Here is a 21,207-nt window from a genome sequence, read left to right on the forward strand (position 1 = left end):
AGAGAATGGGGAGAAGGAACCCCCGACAACACTACTCTGGGTTCAGTATTTCCTGGCACAGCACTTTGATAAACTTGGACAGTATTCTTTGGCTTTGGATTATATTAATGCTGCAATTGCTAGTACTCCAACTCTAATAGAATTATTCTATATGAAAGCAAAAATTTACAAGGTAAAATCTGAATCCTGTTTTTTGAGTAGTTGAAGAATTCAGCTACTTTAAGAATCCTTGGAGTTTTTTCTTTGTGGAAACAAGTTCTAGGGCACCCTGATAATCTTTTTCTAATAATCCTGTGTAGTTTCATGTTATATTAATTGTATAATCAATGTGTAATTAGATGTGTAATCATTTGAGCTCTTAGTAAATGTGAACTGTAATTTTGATTTCTAAATAAATTTGACAGAAATGGTGACAGATTTCTTTTTTGTCTGTGTAAATTATTTTCCATTTTATTGTACTCATATTCTCTTGATTATAAATTGTGGTTCCTTTAATTATCTTTTATAGCATATAGGTAATCTCAAAGAAGCTGCAAAGTGGATGGATGAAGCACAGTCTTTGGACACAGCTGATAGATTCATCAATTCCAAATGTGCAAAATACATGCTTCGAGCAAATATGATAAAAGAAGCAGAGGAAATGTGCTCCAAGTTCACAAGGGTAGGAAATAGCATGCATGAGCATGTAATTGTCTAAATTAAGACAGTTTGTGAAGTTTGTCTAAATTAAGACAGTTTGTGAAGAACTTCAGTGGAAGTTCATAAAAATTCATTTTTATTATTGTTTTTTAAAATCCCATTTAACCCATATCCTAAGAATGGTTTCTTACTGTGGTTGTGTATCTGTGTATATGTTTCTGGCAGGGGATGGTTAAAAAACAATAGCAAGAGCAAAATATCTTGGTACATATATAAAGAGTATGCTATACTTTAGCACTTACGTGTAAAATTTGATTTATATCTCAAATCCTTTGTCCCCCTAGTAATTTGTGACTGCTTTTTAATTCTGTCTTACTTTTAACTTGCTCATAGAGTTCTTTCTTTGTAGAACTAATTGCTCTGAACTAGTCTCTGTGACATTCAAGAATTTAAGTTTCCTGAGATGGGCTACACATCCATCCCTTTTCCCTCCTTCACCATCCCTTTATATCCTTTTCCACATAAACTTTCTGTTATAATACATGTTTATGGTTAAAAATATAAGTAGACTAATGGAACAGGGTAGAAAGCTCAGAAACAGATTTCACACATATTTGGAAAATGGGATATACCCAGAGATACTGTAAAAATCAGAGATGAAAATATATTGCTGGGACAATTAGTTACTCCTGTTGGGGAAAAAGCCTCCAATATCCCTCTCTGTCACTGTACACGAATCAGTTCCAGGTGGATTAAAGATCAGATATGGAAAGCAAACCTTTCACACTTATACAAGAAAATATAAAGGAGCTTAGGATAAACTAATTATAATATAATCTAATATAATAGAAAATTTCACTGTACACGAATCAGTTCCAAGTGGATTAAAGATCAAATATGGAAAGCAAACCTTACACTTATAGAAGAAAATATATAGGAGTTTATCTTCAGGATAAAGAAGCATTCTTTATGCTTGAGGTAGGAAGCATTTCTTGACACCAAAAGCATAAAGCATAAAAGAAAAACTGAGGTGGGCATGGTGGCATGTGCCTATAGTCCCAGCTACCACATAGTAAATAGCACTAGGTTCAAAGTCTTCAATGCCCTTTCCACTATATCACAGGTTTGAAATTAAGAAGAGAGTACAAGGAATAAACATAAAACCAATTATGTTTTCAGAGAAAAGTACCACATGGAAGGCCAAGGTAGCGATAGGAAGTAAAATGCAATTAAATATGAAGTATACAGGTTGAGCATCCCAAATCTAAAATTCAAATTCCAAAATGCTCCAAAACTTGAAACTTTTTGAGCACTGGTATGATGGTCAAAGGAAATGCTCATTGGAGCATTTTGGATTTTGGATTTTTGGGTTTGGGATCGCTCAACCACTAAGTATAATGCAAATATTCCAAAATTGAGAAGGTTTGCAACATTTCTGGTTCCAGACAATTCTGATAAGCGATACTAAATCTATGCAAAACTTAAAGAAGTTCAGTGATTTTTAAGAAACAGAAAGCCCAGTGACACTGGGATGCGTCTTTAAAGGCACAGGAGAATGAGAAAGAAGGTGAGAGGAGTTGGTTATTTAAGGAGAATAGTCACCAAAATCTGTGGCTCAGCTTGCTCATCATAACTGCCTCTGATCATCCACTTTTGACAAGTTGCCATGCTGTATGGCAAGCTTGTTCACTTTATGCACACTAGTTTGTTGGCCAGGCAAATCCATAATATGTGGTGAACAACATAATGAGGCAGGGGAAGAAAACTGCAAATGACCCTGAATAATCAGGATATATCTGCTTACTAATAAATGAGTGAAGGGCGCATATTTCCTTCTCGCAGATTTTTCAGTTTAGAACTTTTGTACAAAGTTGCTGATACATGTTGGATAGTTCTAGTTGATAAACTTTTTGAAATGAAAAGTAATATAGATTTCCTCTTATAAAAATATGTGACCATTAACAAAATGGAAAATATAACACAACCATAATGAAGACAGAAAATACATCAATAATTCTGTTCACCCAGAGATAACTAGTTTTTAGACGTTTAATGTGTTCTGAAAATTGAACTGATACACAAAATGTGAGGAAAAACTGTAGACTGAAATCATTTATATAAGTGTATCTTTGCATCCTTTCCTGGGGTCATATAAAATATATTTTAAATGTCTCTTCTAAACTGTGACAAAACTTGAGTATCCTTGCACTTAAAATTCGTTAATTTATGTCTCACACTCCCCTCAGAATTTTTATTGAGCCTGAATTAACAAATTCAGTTATTTGGTTTTGTCAGCCCACTGCAAAGGAGAAATATTAAAGTAGAAGAGTTGTCATGAAACAGGTGATGCTGATAGAAGCAGACACATGGGCACAAAGAAAGTGACAATGGAGGAGGGACACTGGGAAACCAAAAAACAGGCCTGCAGCTATTACTAACAGATTTGATAAATGCTGAATATACGTAACAGTGACCCCGAGTCAGCAAGGAAGGCTGAAATAGCTTTTGCTTGAAAGGCAGAAGATAGGCAGTACTTCATATGACTGCTTTCTTAAATAGTTGAAATAAAAACTTTGGTGTTTAAAAACTAAGATTTAGTAATTTGGAGTCTTTTTTATGAAGAGTGTTGACTACCCCAGCAGAGCTGGGTAAATAAGACGTTATGTATATGTGGGTTTTCCATCTGATAACTGAGATGGCTCCTAAGTGACAGTTAGGTAGCAGACAGTGTGGATGTACTAGACAAAGGGATGATTCACGTTCCGGGTGGGATAGAGTGGGATGGTGCAAGATTTTATCACAGTATTCAGAATGGCATGCAGTTGAAAACGTATGAATTGTTTATTTCTGCAATTTTCCCTTTAATATCTTTAGACCATGGTCGACTGTGGGTAACTGAAACCATGGAAGGTGAAACCTTGGATAAGGAGAGACTATTGTAGTATAAAACCATGTTTGGAAACATACTGATATATTTGCTAATTGCTGCTATTGTCATAATAGTACTGTAGCCCTAGTTGTAAAGAGGAAATGATTTTTAGGATCTCTTTCATTGTTTGCTCTCTATAGTTTTGAATGCTTCCATTTCAGGAAGGAACATCTGCCATGGAAAATCTAAATGAAATGCAGTGTATGTGGTTTCAGACAGAATGCATTTCAGCTTATCAGCGTCTGGGGAGATACGGGGATGCCTTGAAAAAATGTCATGAAGTAGAAAGGGTAAGTTGTTAGAATTTCGACTTCAGTTTTCACTGTAAGGTGATAAAAAGCAGGTAGATTTCTACACAGGATCATCTGCCTCTTCTAACTTCTCTGGGAGCTTCATTGTGAAAAAAATTCTTGATCTTTAACCTTTACATTCAGAAGTTGTAAACAATGGATTGCTTTACTGATCCTCAAGTGATTATGCTTTTGACATGTCTATATATTTTTGTCTGAAGGAAAAAGATTGTTAGTAAACAATTATTGCTATTAACATAAATTCAAAATTTATGTTCCCTAATTAGGCCATTATTTTGATATTCATCACCACCCTAAGAGGACACACAGCTGATGGCAACCTCTTTCCCCTTTAAAACATCAGGATCTGGTCCGCAGTCAGCCTCTCTCCAGTTTGTCTTCCCAGGATATTTGCTCTCACATTCAGTATTCTGTATAACAATCTATGGCCAGTTTGCAGGCTTATTTTATTGCTTGCTTTTAGGATTATTTGTGTGATGTGCCTTAGTGAGGGGACTTTTCTTTTCCTTTGTGTGAATTTTTGTTTTCCTGTTCTTTGTCATCTCTGAAGCACTCTCCTTCCACATGGACCACAGGAGGAAAAGAGCCGCAAATGCACCCCTGAGGCAGTCCTCAGCAGCCCTCAGTTGTGGGGGCAATCGGCACCACTGTTCCCATCCTGACGCAGTATAGAACCACAGGCATCGTAGTCAGGTGAGCCTGATGTCTGCACCGTGGCAGTCACTTTGGCCTTTTTCCCACGTGAAATTTCTGAGATTACCCACAAGGAAGGCTAAATTTTAGGGGGTGGCTTTTGATGGGGACTGGAACTAGAATTATACCCAAGCATTTTTAGAAATAACCTAATTTTTGCTCTGTTTTTGTTTTTTGTTTGTTTGTTTTTCATGCCCTTTTAAGCCTGGGCTTGATGGCTGTATCTCTGGGGAAAATCCTCCTCATCTTCTCCTTGAAAAATATAAAGCCCTTGGGATGATAGGTGAAATACCCAAGCATTCTAGTTTAAATCAGGCTCTTGTTTCCTTCATAAAACCACAGATCACTAGCTTGTTACACTCCCTAGAGGACCATTATTTTAAGAGCATTCTGCTTGTTATTAAGGAAAGATACATTTTTATTAACTAGGACATTCTCAGTGAGAGGTAAATTGTTTCCCTTATGAAGAGGCTGCTAGGCACTTACGAATTAGTAATTTCAGCAAGACCATAACTAGAAACTTACCAAATTTTCTGTTTAAATGAAATTTGAATATCCTAAGGATCATTATAGTTCTGAACTTCTTGAACTTAAATTCCATTTCTTCTAACATTGATGACTATATTGCTTTGTTTTTTAAAATTTTGAGAATTTTTAGAATATGATAAGTGGATCTTCCATTACTGAGTTTCATTTAGATTATACTTTCCCTTAAATTTTTAGTGATTTTGGCTGAGTTGCATGGAAAAAAATTCTGTAATGTCAGAAAATCTACTGACATAGTTCAAGAAATTAATTGGTAAAAAGCATTTTTGAAGAAAGAAACTACAGGAAAATCATTGGTTGTCACAGATTAAAATGGCAGAAATCATCACCCTCTGGTCATGTTACATAATTATTATCGCTAGAAACTTTAGGGTTTACTATTAACATTTGAGATTAGAAAGAAGTAGAAACATAAACAAGAAAAGAACCTACTCTTATACCAGTTGTAAGCTAGTCTTCAGTGAATATATCTATACTAAAAGCAAATAAGACAACTCTTTTATAGTTATTATGTATATTCTACATGTGTGGTTATATGTAGAAATGTGTTTCGTATAAATAGGGTGACTAGGTTGATGGAATGATTAATGCTTCTTAATTTTTAATATCTAAATTTTCTAATCTAAAATTCTTAATGATATCATTGGAAGGATTTAGGAGTAATTACAAGCTTCAGATTTATTATAATAGGTATCTACATGAGTTACCTTATGCCTGTGTCTTAAATATTTTAATAAGGACACGGACACCTCTCAGAAATAAAACTTTGCAGTTTACCTTCTAAATAGAAGGTTAGTGAATTGCGAAATAAGTTCAAATAAGGGTTAGGTCTTTATTCTGCTTTGAAGAAGTCATTCAAGAGTTCTTTTGTTGAAGGCAGTTTCAGTCAGGATACATACTGCTTTGAGCTCTTAGTAATTGGATTTGAAAAATTAGAATTCTAGAATAAGCTAGTGTAGTATCTTTTCTGTTTTCATCCCCCCCCCATAAGATTTTAGGGTTTATATTTTAAGGTTTTGTAGTCCAACCCAATCTGATGTTTGAAACTTGACTTTTATTAAAACAAACAGAACAACCTTCTTCAAAATATTAGATTTAAACTTGTGTTCAGAATAACATTTTAATCTATTTTATCTTTCAAGAATTGAGTTTTCTTTCTTTCCATTTTTTTCTTTTACTATTAGACTGCTGGTGATTGGATTATCATTATTTTAGAATACTGACTTAGATATGAAACAGGGCAACGATACATATATTTCTAACTCTTTGATAAGACCTAGGACTTCTGATAGATACAAACTATAGGAAGATCATAACTTTATCTTCTATTGTATCTTAATCTTTATCAAATTGATAACATGCTTTATAACAACAGATTCTCTATTAAGTAAATTGAGTTGCTAATTTTCCTAGTTGACCTAGTTATTATTTTTTAAATCCAGAGGTTTTTGTTGCCTTTCTCTGTATAAGCTCTTACTAGTCACATCCGGGAACTCTGAGAGGTAGTGGGAAGGAGAATCTGGTCTAGAAGAGAGGGCCTAATAAGGAGTTCCTTAAAAAAATAAAAACACTACACTCTAAAGCTGTGAACGGCTTTTCTTAATTCTTGCTTAGGGGGAGAGAGTTAAGGGCATGAGCTGTATGTTAAGATTTGAATACGTACTTTTCTGCAGTGAGCTAAGTGATTTTTGTCATGCTCTTCATGTTTGGCCAAAAGGTACAGGGAAACTAACTTTATCTGTTGGTGTTGTGTAGCATATTTTTGTGTTTTACAAATTTAGAGACTAAAAAATCAACCCAAGGGGGAGCTTCTTGGTGATGGAGTAGTTCTGTGTTTCTTAGGGTAGTGGTTACATGAATCTACAAATGATAAATCACATAGAACTATATACACATTGTACCAATGTCAGTTTCTTGGTTTTGATACTGTATTGTAGTTATGTAGGCTGTAACCTTCGGGGGAAACTGAGGGAAGGGTATACAGGACCTTTGCTACTTCCTCTGTATCTATAACCCAAAACAAAAAGTTAAAAAAAAATTCAACCCGAGATTATTTAGTTGTTTCTATATAGTATTCTGCAATACACTGTTTTTTCCAAAAGCAAATATTACAATCAGCTGTAGCTGCAGTATCCCACTTGTTTTTAATTTAGCCATATTCTGTCTATCACCATTAGTTTATTATGGAGTGATTAACAAGCCAGGTTTGCTTGAGGCTGAGTGGGTTCGCAAGACACAGTGCTTTCAGTGGAAAAACTGAGAGAGCCTCTGGCAAACTAGGATAAGTTGGTCACCCAATTTATGGAAGACATTAACTGGAGAGAGGCAGCCTATGGGCTGTTACTGATAAAGAGGTGGCTTAAATATTTGTGGTTACATATGGCCCCCTCCAAGACTTGACTTAAAATCTCTGTCTATTAATGCTGCTAGGAATATCTCTTGAAGTTTGTCATCTGCCTTTTTTCAGATGTTTCTCAACCTAAAAGAATGTCCTGTAATCTCTTAGATGTTTTCATCTGATTATGTGTTCCAGGACTTTTAGCGCCACCATTTTTCCTTAGTTAACTGTATTGAATTTTTAAAATATTCTTGTGCTAGTTATAACTTGATTTACATTAAGAGAAACCACTAACAACTTTATGAAATATGTAATCCTTTGATTTAAAAAAAAAGTTCATGTTAATATTTACGATTTGATTTTATTGGTGGGAAAGATGCAGTTTTCAATTACAACATCATTAAAGCATGGCTTTTTAGTCATAAACTAATGTGAAATGTTCACTTTTCCTGTTTCTTACCCTCCATACTATGTACTTTTATTATAATTTTTGTCTTAAAGTCTCAGGTACTTAATATAATTCTGTATATAGTGTGTTTCTAATTACCAAGCAATTATCAGATGATTATGGACAATTACTAATATGTCCTCTGCGGAGTGACTTAACTATCCCCAGGACAGAGGGAACATGAACTAGTAGGAAAGCTTGATCTATATTGGTGTATTGAATCACTCATTTTTCTATATGATTTTAGAAAAACTAACGTATGAAAAAAGAAGTTGGAGATGGAAATGCATGCAGGGGAACAGTATAAGTATAAGATTGTTTTGTTGGGGGAGGGGCAGAGGGTTAGTGTTCACCTTTCATGGAAGGGATTAGTTCTTAACCTCTTTTGGCCATGGATCCATTGAAAATTGGATGAAAGCTTTGAGCTCTCTCCTTAGGAAGAAGTTTTTATGCTTGTTTATACATAGACTCCAGTTTCAGAACTTCTGCTAAAATGGAATGTAGGTAGAGTAAGAGAAAACAATAAAGTTCTGTATTTATATAACAGTTTACTGTTGAAAATGAACTTTAAAATACATTATTTGATCCTTTAACAACCTTAAGAAATTGGCTGTATGGATTTCTTTATTCTTAACTTAGATTAAATAATTGTCTAGGAAATTAAAAGGCTTATTCAGGGTCGCATCCCTAATAAGAAGCTTATCTCTTGAGTGGGCAAATACTGTGCTTACTGAATGTCTGCTATGTATTAGGCCCTGTGGCAGGCGGTGGGTAAGGATTGCCCTTGAAAATGGTAGAGTTGAGTAGAGCAGTCAGATTTGTAAATATTTAGTGTGAACCTACACATATTTAGTCTTCATTCAGAGCTCTGTTTAACTGTGCCATGCTGGTTTTTAGGGAATATGGAGGAAGAGTATTTCATTAAAACTAAAATATTAATATATACTAACTTTCAGGTTTAAAAAATAACCTGATCTTTTGACTTATATAGAAGTTGAGTATCATCACAAAACATGATTTGTAGGGAATGGGCATGGTTTGTAGGAAGAGAAAGTTCAAGTTGAATGCCAAAAATAATTCATATCCTTTATAGTGTAAAACATTGGAGAGGGCAGCTAAGTGAAAATTGTGACTGTTTAAATTGTTTTTTGGGCTTTTTACAATTTTTTTTTTCTAAAGGTAGACATTATTGACATAAATGTAAAGGTTAATTTTGTGATTTTTGTTTTTAAGCATTTTTTTGAGATAACTGATGACCAATTCGACTTCCATACATACTGCATGAGAAAGATGACCCTTCGTGCCTATGTTGACCTTTTGAGATTAGAAGATATACTCAGAAGACATGCCTTTTATTTCAAGGCTGCTAGATCAGCGATTGAAATATACTTGAAATTGTATGATAATCCCTTAACCAATGAAAGCAAACAACAAGAAATAAACTCAGGTAACTGAATAGGAACTTAAAAGATTTTAAAAGGACACTAAATTTCAGAATGCCATTAGCGTAAACAATACCTAGAAAAATATTAATATATTGTCTGTTGGAGTTGAAGACAAACATTAGATAACTCATATGCCAAAAAACAAAAATGTTGCAGAGAGAGTTAAAAAAAGTGGGATGATATTCTGTAGCTGATGGTTCTAAATTACTTTAATGGAACAACTTAGAATTTTTTTTATTTTTGTCTTCAGAAAGACCAATTTAAGAACTGGGTATGGTGGTTCACGCCTGTAATCACAGCATTTTGGGAGGCCAAGGCAGGCAGATCATTTGAGGCCAGGAGTTCAAGACCAGTCTGGGCAACATAGCATGACCCCTGTCGCTACAAAAATTTTAAAAAGACGAGTTTAGGAAACATAGAAATGTCTGTGGACTAGTTTTTTTCTTTCTTTTTTAAAAAATTGTAACTGAAAATAGCTTTGAGCTCCTTAGGAAAAAATATATAATCTTAAAATTTCTAGTTCCTACTTTATTAAAAATAAGAATATCAGTGAGAATATCTGTACAGTTTTTTATTCACTAGAATGTTAATATCTAGGAATATTTGAGAAATAGTTAGCATGAAATGAGCCTAGGTAACTATCTCAGATATTCCTAGGTAGCTGTTCATTTCTAATATTTATATAGTATTTAGAGATCACAGGTGTTTATATGTATTATCTCACTTATTCTTGAAAGACTTGATACTGAGAAGGACAAAGTGATTTGCCTGGAGTCATATATTGTGTAGGAGGCAGAACTGGGCTACTATTGGTCAATTTTAGTTAATGCAACATTTACTGGCTGTCCTTTGTGTGCCCAATTTTGTTCTAGTCACTGGGGATACACTTTCTAAAAGCTTTTATATGGGTTGCCTCTGCATCCCTCCTTGCCCAGACAAAAAACAGAAAAAAAAAGTATACAGCTGGCCCTCCATTTTTGTGGGTTCCACATGGGTGGAACAAATCATAAATATGTTTTTTTAAATTGCATCTGTACTGAACATGTCCAGACTTTTTTTCTTGTCATTATTAGTATTTCCTGAACAATGCAGTGTAACAACTATTTACATAGCATTTACATTATTTTAGGCATACCTATAGACCATAATATAATTTATGAAAAAGTGAAGTCATTATATGCAACTTAAAGCAAAAGGAAGGTGAAAGATTTAAAGCTGATCTAATTAAAAGTATACAGGAGGATGTACATAGGTTGTATGGAAATACTGTGTCATTTTATATCACAGGCTTGAGTATCAGTGGACTTTGTGGGGGTGGGGGTCATGAACCAATCCCCCACTGATACCAAGGGACAACCATACTAACAGTATGTATTACAGAAGAATATGAAGAAAATGCAAACATTGGCTCAGAATTTTGTTCATTTGGATATTTATAGAAAACTTGTCAGCCAAAGAATTGAAGAAAATGCTTAGCAAGCAGAGAAGAGCTCAGAAAAAGGCTAAACTAGAAGAAGAAAGAAAGCATGCAGAAAGAGAACGTCAACAGAAAAATCAAAAGAAAAAAAGAGATGAAGAAGAAGAAGAAGCCAGTGGCCTTAAGGAAGAACTTATACCTGAAAAATTAGAAAGGGTGAGATGGGTTTTACTATCTTTGTTATTTGGTAAAATTTATGCTATTTGGTTCCGTTCTGACAGTTAACATGATTTATTTAAATCTGTAAGAAGCCATTTGAAATATTTCAAGGTTTTTATAATAGCCGTCAATTATCTTTGAGTGACAGTATACAAATTTTGGCTAATGCAAGTTATACATAGAATTGCAATTGTGGTAGGCAGAGTAATGGCCCTGCAAAGGTGTCTGTGTTCTGGTCCCCCCAGCCTGTGAATATGTAACCTTACATGGCAAGGGAGAATTAAGGTGGGAGATGGAATTTATGGTTGTAATGAATTGACCTCAAGATAGATTAGCCTGGATTGTCCATGTGGTCCTAATATCGTCAAAAGGGGCCTTAAAAGTTGAGGATGCCAGCAGCAGAGGTCAGAATGATGCAATGTGAGGAGGACTCAACCTGCTGTTGCTGGCTTTGAAGATGGAAGGAGGGTGCCCCAAGCTAAGGAGTGTGGGCAGTCTAGAGAGGCTGAAAAAGGCATTGAACGGATTCCCCCTTCGAATCTCCAAAGGAAATGCAGTCCTGCTGACACCTTGATTGTAAGCCCAGTGAGACTGTGTTGGGCTTTTAACCTATAAGAACTATAACATAATAAGTGTGTTGTTTTAAGTCAATAAATATTTGGTAATTTGTTACAGCAGCAATACAATTGTCCATTACATATGGAATCATTTTACCTTATATGTCTTACTAGAAATGTTGTAGCTACAAAGAGATAGCACCTCCAGGATTTTCTCAAGTGTTAATAGTTGTTTTGGGATCAGATTTAAGGAAATATTTAGTTTTCTGGTTTATTCACTGTAAGTCTAGTACAGTTGGCCTTTGAACAACATAGGTTTGAATTTTGAGGGTCCAGCAAAGGATGGTTTGATAATTTTAGAAAGATGTTTGGGTTAAAAAATGTCCAGATAACAGAAGAATTAACTTCTCACCAAGAGCTGGCAGAGAAGTTCCAGATGCCATTGAGAAAATCATTGAGGAGAAGAGGTATCTGCCTGAACAGGTTTTTAATGTAGAAAAAAAGTGCTCTATCACAGGAAAAAATAAAAGCCACAAAGGACATCTATTAGTAAGGAAAATAAGCGAACACCAGGATTTAAGGCAGGAAGGGATAGGCTAACTGTACCATTTTGTGCAAATGCAGTTGGGATTATGACCATGGCTGCCTTTTATCTATAAAGCTACTAACCCCTGAGCCTTGAAGGGAAAAAATAACAGCTGCCAGTCTTTCGGTTTTACAACAAGAAGGCTTGGACAGTGAGAAACCTTTTTCTGGATTGGTTCCATCCATGCTTTGTCTCTGAAGTGAGGAAGTACCTTGCCAGTAAGGGACTGCCTTTTAAAGTTCTTTTGATACTGGACAGAACCCCTGGCCATCCGGAACCTCATGAGTTCAACTCCAAAAGTGTAGAAGTGGCCTACCTGACCCCAAACATGTCTTTAATTCAACCACTAGATTAGATCAGGGGTCATAAGGACCTTTAAGGCTCATTATGCCTGGTACTCTATGGAAAGGATTTTCAACGCTGTGGAAGAGAACCCCAGTAGAACATTATGAAAGTCTGGAAGGATTACATCATCAAGGATGCCATCATTGTTAACAGAAAAAGCCTTGAAAGCCATCAAGCCTGAAACAATAAATCCCTGCTGGTGTCCAGATGTTGTGTACAACTTCACAGGATTTATGACAGAGCCAATCAAGGAAATCATAAAAGAGATTGTGGATATGGCAAACAAAAAGTGGAGAATGGCGGTAAAGGGCTTCAAGATTAGGGAACCTGGAGAAATTCAAGAGCTAATAGATGCCACACCAGAGGAATTAATAGAAGGCAACTTGATGGAGATGAGTGCTTCCAAACCATTGCCAGATGATGAGGAAGAAGACATAGAAGCAGTAGTGCCAGAAAACAGATGGACATTAGACATTCTGGCAGAAGGGTTCTGATTATTCAAGACTGTTTTTTGACTTTTATGACATGGACCCTTCTATGATACAGGCATTGAAACCAAAGCAAACAGTGGAAAGATTGGTACTGGACAGAAACATTTTTAAATAAATGAAAAAGCAAAAAAATTGTACTTACATAAAGTTAGATGGAATGTGCCTGCCTCTTCTGCCTCCCTTTCCACCTCCTTCACCCCTGCCATCCTTGAGGTAGCAAAACTAGCCCTTCACCCTTCAGCCTACCCAACATGAAGATAAGGATGATGATCCACTTCCACTTAATGAGTAGCAAATATATTTTCTCTTCCTTATGACTTTCTTAGTATTTTATTTTCTATAGCTTACTTTATTATAAGAATACAGTATACAATACATGTAACATACACAATATGTGTTAATCAGCTGTTCATGTTATTGGTAAGGCTTCCAGTCAACAGTAGGCTATTAGTAGTGAAGTTGGGAGAGTCAGAAGTTACACATAGATTTTCAACTGCACTGGGGGTGGGTCAGCTCCCCTAATGCTCATGTTGTTCATGGGTCAACTGTATTATAAGCATTTTAAATTTTATTACCATCTCCTTACTATTTGATGCCATTTTTTTTGTCTCCTTACTTTAAATGTTTATAGCAGATAGGGGATTGTCATTACATGATGTACCATCTCTTTAAGTCTGTGGAATAACTTTATGTATTTTTTTGTTTTTAATAAAATGATCTTGATTTTGTAACCAGAAAAAAAGCTATTTCTGTTTTGAAAAGTATTGATTGTGTACTTTGAATTTATTTACAGATGATTTTTAAATGTTTTCTTGTTATTTGGTTTTATAAAGAAAGCTGTCTAAATTACTTTAGACATATGTTAATATAAAATTTTAGGGGAAATTTGACTTGTTCTGATGTTTTTTAAATAATTTTCCTTTCTGTTTCAAAATAGGTAGAAAATCCATTAGAGGAAGCCGTTAAGTTCCTTATACCTCTTAAGAACCTTGTTGCTGATAACATTGACACTCATCTGTTAGCATTTGAAATATATTTTAGAAAAGGTAATAAATAGTTTGAGTTCAGTTTTTAATCTTTAATTATATTTGTGACCATATTCAGTGTAATCTTTGTCAGATCTATTTTTGTTTCTTAGATTTTCATTTTAGCCTTCTACAAAGGCTCTTTTCCTTGGCTACTCGAAACTTAGGTGGGTAATAAATTAGAATAGTACTATCAAATCCAGTGTAAGAATAGTTTGAACAACCATACAAATTGTCTACCTGAAGCAATTTTTATGATTTTTCAAGCTTTTCTTTAGAAAGCCATAGTTGACTTTGATAGCCAGAGTCAACTTTAATTTTGCTTACGAGTGTTATAAAAAAGGTAGCATTTTGTTGTTGAACTTAAGTGAGACTGAAATAAAGTGAGGAAAATACTGTGTAAGTATTAATGCTATTACTTTTGTATTTTTTCTGACACAGGAAAGTTTCTGTTAATGCTGCAGTCTGTCAAACGAGCTTTTGCCATTAACAGTAATAACCCATGGTTACATGAATGTTTAATTAGATTTTCTAAATCTGGTAAGTATAAAAAAGGACCATATTTACATTTGTGAATTATTTCTAAGGGGAGGAGGTTGTTAAATCTCTGTTGATCTGATAAATATTTAATAACCCTCTCTTTGTGAAGTAAAAAGCCCTGATTTGTATTTTCATGATACAAATCCTCTGATCATGGCCCAAGCTGTCAGTGGGATGCCACTGAGAGAAGCAAATATAAGTTGTCTTACATTAAGCTGGTGGACATTAAAGAGATTTGCAATAACGTAAAGCAAAATAATAATAATTTACATAGTTAAATGAACGTGTCTATAAAATAAACCTGTTAGCCAAGAGATGGTAGAAATTAGTGCATTTTTAGGCTAGGATGTATTTATATTCCAAAGGAAGAATAATAATTATACTATGTAAAATCAAGTTTAATAATAAAGGTTTTTTGTTGTTGTTGTGTTTTTTGTTTTTTTTTTTGAGACAGTCTTGCTCTGTTGTCTAGGCTGGAGTGCAGTAGCACGATCTTGGCTCACTGCAACCTCCACCTCCCGGGTTCAAGTGATTCTCCTGACTCAGCCTCTTGAGTAGCTGGGACTACAGTTGTGTACCACCATGCCCGGCTAATTTTTGTATTTTTAGTAGAGACGGGGTTTCACCATGTTGGCCAGGCTGGTCTCAAACTCCTGACCTCAAGTGATCTGCCTGCCTCAGCCTCCCAAAGTGCTGGGATTACAGGCGTGAGCCACCGCGCCCAGCCATAAAGGGTTTTCAGTAGGTTTTTTTTTTTTCAAAGGACAGATCAAAAACAAAAAATCCAAATGTTTTTGTTTTTATAGTGTCTAATCATAGTAATCTTCCAGACATTGTGAGCAAAGTTCTATCTCAAGAAATGCAGAAAATATTTGTCAAAAAGGATTTGGAAAGTTTTAATGAGGATTTTCTGAAACGTAACGCTACCTCTCTTCAGCATCTACTTTCAGGTTTGTTTGTAGCCCCCAGGGTTAAAATACTTATGGAAAAAGCGAACAAAGAGAAAGCTTTGACACCCCCAAAATGTAAAGCAAATGAACAGTACTGTGTGTAAGTATGGGGAGAGAAATGTGGACAAATTTAAGTTATGTTCAATAATAGGGGAAACAGGGATGGATTCACAGGATGTAATACCAGATTTAAAGTGATGTTTATTCAAAGGGTTTGTGATAACGGGCAAATACTTTTATAATAAATGTGCGGGATTGAACATACAATATAATCTCAACTATGCATGGGAAAAAGGCTGAAAGGAAGTGTCTACGAAAGCTTTAATGTTGATTTGGGGTGTGTGGTTATAAATTATTTTTCTTTTTTTTTTTTTTCTTTGAAATGGAGCCTCACTCTGTCGCCCAGGCTGGAGTATGTTTTTTCTTCTAATTTATAGGAGAAATATAAACTGTGTTTCATTTTTTAAAATTTTACTTTCTTTTTGAATATGCAAACATTTTCCTGTTTTCCCCGCCCCTACTCTCCTCCTCTGTGACAGTAATTTATTCCTTAGATGTTTTATTTTAGAATATCTTTTTTCATAGTTTTGGCTGAAATACTGATTGATGCCACAGGGCAGTCCATATTTACATTCTCAATTTTATTTCTAAGGGGAGGAAGTTGTTGAGTCACTGTCCATCTGATAAATGTTTAATAACCATCATTTTGTGAAGGAAGAAGCTCTGATTTGTAGTGTATTTTCATGATATAAATACTCTGATCATGGCCTATCAATGGGATGCTACTGAATAGGAGGTAGGGAAGAAATGTCACACTTGGCTCTCTTGAGCTGGTAGGAGCCAGCTCCAGCTTACCACTGATTAAACACTTAAAACCATATTTGAAGTCACTGGCCAGTTGATATCACATAAAATGTAAAGTATAGGTGTTTATTCATTTTGAAATGCCTTGGTATTTCAGGTGCTAAAATGATGTATTTTCTGGACAAGTCAAGGCAGGAGAAAGCAATTGCTATAGCCACTAGACTAGATGAAACTATAAAAGATAAAGATGTAAAGGTAAGTTTTTTTTCTTTGGCTGATTTATGCTTACACAGTGATCTAACAAAACGTGTCTTTACAGCATAATTCTTGAGTAGGCCTTCAGAATTATGCCTGGATGTTAATCCCAGCTCTATCAATTATGAGATGCGTAACTTTAGGCAGGTTATGTCTCTTAGCTTCTTTTTCCTCATTTTTAAGATGAGGGTGAAAATACTAGTGCTGTCACAGAATCCATGTGAGAGTTAACTGAAATAATAAAACGTGAAGTCCTTAGTGCCTGGCACGTTGTTAAGTACTCAGTAAATGTGGGCTATTTTTGTTAGTAAAGGACACTTTGATTTTTAGTGATCACAGTTTTAAAATGTTCTCTTTTGCAGTTATTAGAATTTTACTGCCTTTTTCGGGGTTGAATTTTTAATGTGCCTTTTTTGAGGTGATTGCTTACTGTGTAGATTGTAAGGCATTATTTTAGACTGAGGCAGCTTTCTCAATTTAACACATTGCATCTTTTGATTAAAGTGGTTATTAACTGCGAGCTTATTATTTTTAAATAATTTGTGTTTTCCTTTTGTTTCACTAGACATTAATAAAGGTTTCTGAAGCACTGCTTGATGGCAGCTTTGGGAACTGTAGTTCCCAATATGAAGAATATAGGATGGCCTGTCATAACCTGCTTCCTTTTACATCTGCCTTCTTGCCTGCTGTGAATGAAGTCGACAATCCTAATGTGGCACTGAACCATACAGCTAATTATGATGTCTTGGCAAATGAAATTTGAAATCTTCTAGAAAGTAGACTCCTATAGACTCAAAGCTGAATTGAGATCAGGGTTTCTTTTCCAGGGTGCATTTTAATATACGTATGAAATGAAATATTTGGTTAGGATTTTTAAATGGCATATTCTGTAAGCTTATTTTGTTCTTTACCCGACCTGCCAATTTACATAACCATCTGTTAAAATTACCTGTTTATTCTTACACAGTTTTGTGGTAGCTCCGATCGCTTCTGTATAATTATAATTTCTTACTAAGCTAAGTTGTATACAACCCCACTGTATTATTTTCTTTAGATTCTGATTTCAGGATCTGTGCTTTGATTCCTTGTCTGTTTTATCGTATATTTGCTTGCTTTTTAATTAAAGCACATCAGTTTTAAAGTGTTAACTATATGTTAACAATATGGAGGCTGGGCGTGGTGGCTCACACCTGTAATCCCAGCACTTTGGGAGGCCCAGACTGGCGGATCACCTGAGGTCAGGAGATCGAGATCAGCCTGGCCAACATGGTGAAACCCCTTCTCTACTGAAAATACAAAAATTAGCCAGACGTGATGGCACATACCTGTAATCCAAGCTGCCCAGGAGCTGAGGCCGGAGAATCGCTTGAACCTGGGAGGTGGAGGTTGCAGTGAGCCGAGATCATGCCACTGCACTCCAGCCTGGGCAACAGAGCAAGACTCCATCTCGAAAAAAAGGAATTCCTCTTGGCAGATATTGAAGTTTATTTGAAAATTTAATTCGTCCTTTTTTCATTGTAATATTTCATGGTTTACTATTTCCTTTTAGTATTCATGAAAATGGTATTTTCTGGTTGAATAAGGGTACTCTAGTTTTATGTAGATGATTTCAGAATGTGAAGGCTGGTTTGCCTGTCAGTCATGGAAATTCACTGGTAAAATTGTTGAATATTTCTCTCTCCCAGTCTTAAAAGCCCACAGGCAAGAATTAATGCTTTCTTAACTAAGTTACTTTGAGTATTAACAAGTAGCTTATACTGAGGTGTGCTTCAAGGGAGCATTATAGGGCAGAAAACAAATTAAAATGAAATGTTGTTGTTATAGCCATGCATTGACCATTAAATGCATTTTAATATCTCGGCAAAATGAGATTTGAAACTCATTAGTTTAACTCTTAAAACATAGTGTTGTTAAACAGTATTTTTTGGGGGCGGGTGGATAGCTTTTTGTTCTATCTTGTACAGAAAACAGTAATGGAATCACTCATGTTCAGAACCTTGTAAATATGTCTGTAATATTAATGCTTCCCTTTATTAAGACAAATATACATTCAAAAAGGGAGATTTTATTTAGACACACATTTTCTTTTCACCCTAATCTATTTAGATTCATACTTATTGAGACGGGAAAAACTCGCTGTAAAATAATGCCAACCTAGATAATGCTATAATAAATTATTTTGTACACAGTTGCTTATTTATGTTTGTGTTTTGTTATTCTTTTACACTACCAGTATTTTCTGCAAAATGTTCTTTGAGGAAGTAAAAACTTAATCACCTTAATCTTTTCAAGTTTTATAAAAAAATGTAATTCTCAGTAACCATCTACAAAGTATATTTTTGTGCTGCAGTAGCTTGTCTTTTAGTATTTTAATAATTTTGTAACTACAGATGATCACTGGCTTAGGATGGTTTGAGCTAAGATTTTTCAACTCTACCATGGTGTGAAAGTGATATGCTTCAGTAGAAACTGTACTTCGAGTTTTGAATTTTGGTCTTTTCCTGGGCTATGATGTACAATACAGTACTTTTACATAAGATACTCAATATTTTATTATAAAATAGGCTTTGTGTTAGATGATTTTGCCCAATTGTAGGCTAATGTAAGTGTTCTAATCACATTTAAGGTAGGCGAGGCTAAGCTATGATGTTCAGCAGGTTAGGTATATTAAATGCATTTTTGATTTATGAAATTGTCAACTCACAAAAGGTTTATTGAGACATAACCCTAGCATAAGTCGAGGAACATCTGTCGTTCATCTTTGTCATGAAGTATCCGGACACATACATAATTCATGTTACTTTCAGCAAAATGACGTTTGCATAAAATATGCCACTCATAATGTGGAAATTGTGCTTTCAGCAACAGCCTTTTAAAAAGTATTTTATTGGAGTCATTTAGAGTTTGAGAGTTCTGGGGCAGATGCAGTTGAGATGTGAGTAGTAAAATTTGAGGTACATGTATGGGAGGCAAGGTAAAGGGACACTGAAATTAGTGAAAACAGTAGTGTATTGGTCAGTATATACTGGTTCCATTCTCCTTCCTGTCTGCGTTCCACTTCGAGTATAAAATAAACATCATAGACCTGGGACGTGGGCAGGAATCTTCGTTAGGAAAAGGAAGGCAGGGTGTGTCGTGTCTCTCCACCCTGTACCTTTACCATTCCCCCAACCTTGGGAGAGGCCTTTTTAGTCTCCAGAAAGTTAAAGGAGAATAGGCCAGCCCCAAAGGAGAAGCATCTGAAAGCCAGACACTTGGAGAAGTCTTTAGTCTCACGAGAAAAACAAAAGTTTGTTCCAGGTGATCCAGTCAAGTTTACCAGAACAGATAGGAGAAGGCACAAAGATTCCAGGCATAGGGTGATAATTTAAGAATTTGGCTTCAGGTTTCCTGTGATTTGTTTCTTGAGGAACTGAATGAATTTAATGGGTAAGAGTCTACAGAGCCAAGAACCATAGTAGATCTTGGATTGAGTTGTTAGCTAGAACAGGGGCCAGCAGACTTTGAGTAAGGGACCAGGCAGTAAATATGTAGGCTTTGAAGTTCTCATACTGGTCTCTGTCACAATTCAACTCTGCTGTTGTAAAAGCAGCCTAGCCAGAACTAATGGGTATGACTGTTTACCAATAAAATTTCATTTAGAAACATAAGGTATGGGCCAGATTTGACTTTCAGGCTAGGCTGTAGTTTGTGGGCCCTAAAGCTACAAAAGTTTGTGCAAAGTGAAATACTAGAAATAACCTGTGAGTTCCATTTTTTTCCTGCCTAAAGCCAGGATGAATTTTATGTATATATTTTAATCCAAGCATCTTGACACTTTTGCTAGGTTATAGAACTCTCCTTTTATTCAGTATGTTCATCCTAACAAAGTGTCTTTCATGTGCCAGGTACGTTTCTGTATGATAAGGATTACAGTTGTTTCGCTGAGTGCCTTTTACATGCCAGGCGGTTTCCTATATGTCGAGGATAACAGTGAAAAATTAGACAAAATCACTGGAATTGCTCACATTCTATTAAATTGTGATAAGGAAAGAATCATTCACTCAGTCTGTATTTGTTGAGTACTTATATTTCAGACATTGTTCTAGGTATGACAGATACAGTAATGAACAAAATTAGGCCCTTATTCTCCTGGGGTTTATATTCCAGTTGGGTGAGAGGGAAACAAATATATAATATCAAGCAGTAATCATTTCTGTGAAGATAAGCAGAGTATGAGTATAGATAGTAATGTGGTTATAGTGAAATTCAAGAATATCAACCATCTAAAATGTAACAGAAGATTACTCTCTAAGAGAATCAGTGACATCAGATTTATCTAAAGCATTGAACGTAAGGAAATGGAAGGTTTCAGGCTGGGAGCGGTGGCTCACACTTGTAATCCCAGCACTTTGGGAGGCTGAGGCCAGCAGATCACCTGAGGTTGGGAGTTCGAGACCAGCCTGACCAACATGGAGAAACCCCATTTCTACTGAAAATACAAAAAATTAGCCAGGCATGGTGGCACATGCCTGTAATTCCAGCTACTCGGGAGGCTGAGGCAGGAAAATCGCTTGAACCCGGAAGGCGGAGGTTGCAGTGAGCCGAGATTGCACTACTGCACTCGGCCTGGGCAACAAGAGTGAAAATATATCTCAAAAAAAAAAAAAAAAAAAAAAAAAAAAAAAAG

The 21,207-nt window shown here is 35.5% G+C and overlaps 1 protein-coding gene across 7 annotated transcripts in view; it reads left to right on the top strand.

Annotated features, from left to right (window-relative positions):
* Positions 1–18,729, top strand: part of NAA16 (N-alpha-acetyltransferase 16, NatA auxiliary subunit) — a 65,764-nt gene extending 47,035 nt beyond the window's left edge. For 3 of the 7 annotated variants that reach the window (NM_024561.5, XM_006719866.4, XM_047430610.1), the window contains 10 exons: positions 3–172; positions 509–661; positions 3,730–3,858; positions 9,138–9,351; positions 10,789–10,982; positions 13,902–14,010; positions 14,431–14,529; positions 15,336–15,479; positions 16,441–16,538; positions 17,104–18,729. In NM_024561.5, coding sequence (NP_078837.3) covers positions 3–172; positions 509–661; positions 3,730–3,858; positions 9,138–9,351; positions 10,789–10,982; positions 13,902–14,010; positions 14,431–14,529; positions 15,336–15,479; positions 16,441–16,538; positions 17,104–17,301 — 1,508 coding nt within the window. In that variant the 3' untranslated portion in view covers positions 17,302–18,729. Of the gene's footprint in view, positions 1–2; positions 418–508; positions 662–3,729; positions 3,859–4,429; positions 4,575–9,137; positions 9,352–10,788; positions 10,983–13,901; positions 14,011–14,430; positions 14,530–15,335; positions 15,480–16,440; positions 16,539–17,103 lie in introns of those variants that run through there. The other 4 variants (NM_001110798.2, NM_018527.4, XM_011535228.3 and 1 more) reach the window with 3 other exon arrangements.
* Positions 18,730–21,207: the final 2,478 nt, after the last annotated feature.

This window comes from Homo sapiens, chromosome 13 (genome assembly GCF_000001405.40).
Source record: "Homo sapiens chromosome 13, GRCh38.p14 Primary Assembly".
NCBI lineage: Eukaryota > Metazoa > Chordata > Mammalia > Primates > Hominidae > Homo > Homo sapiens.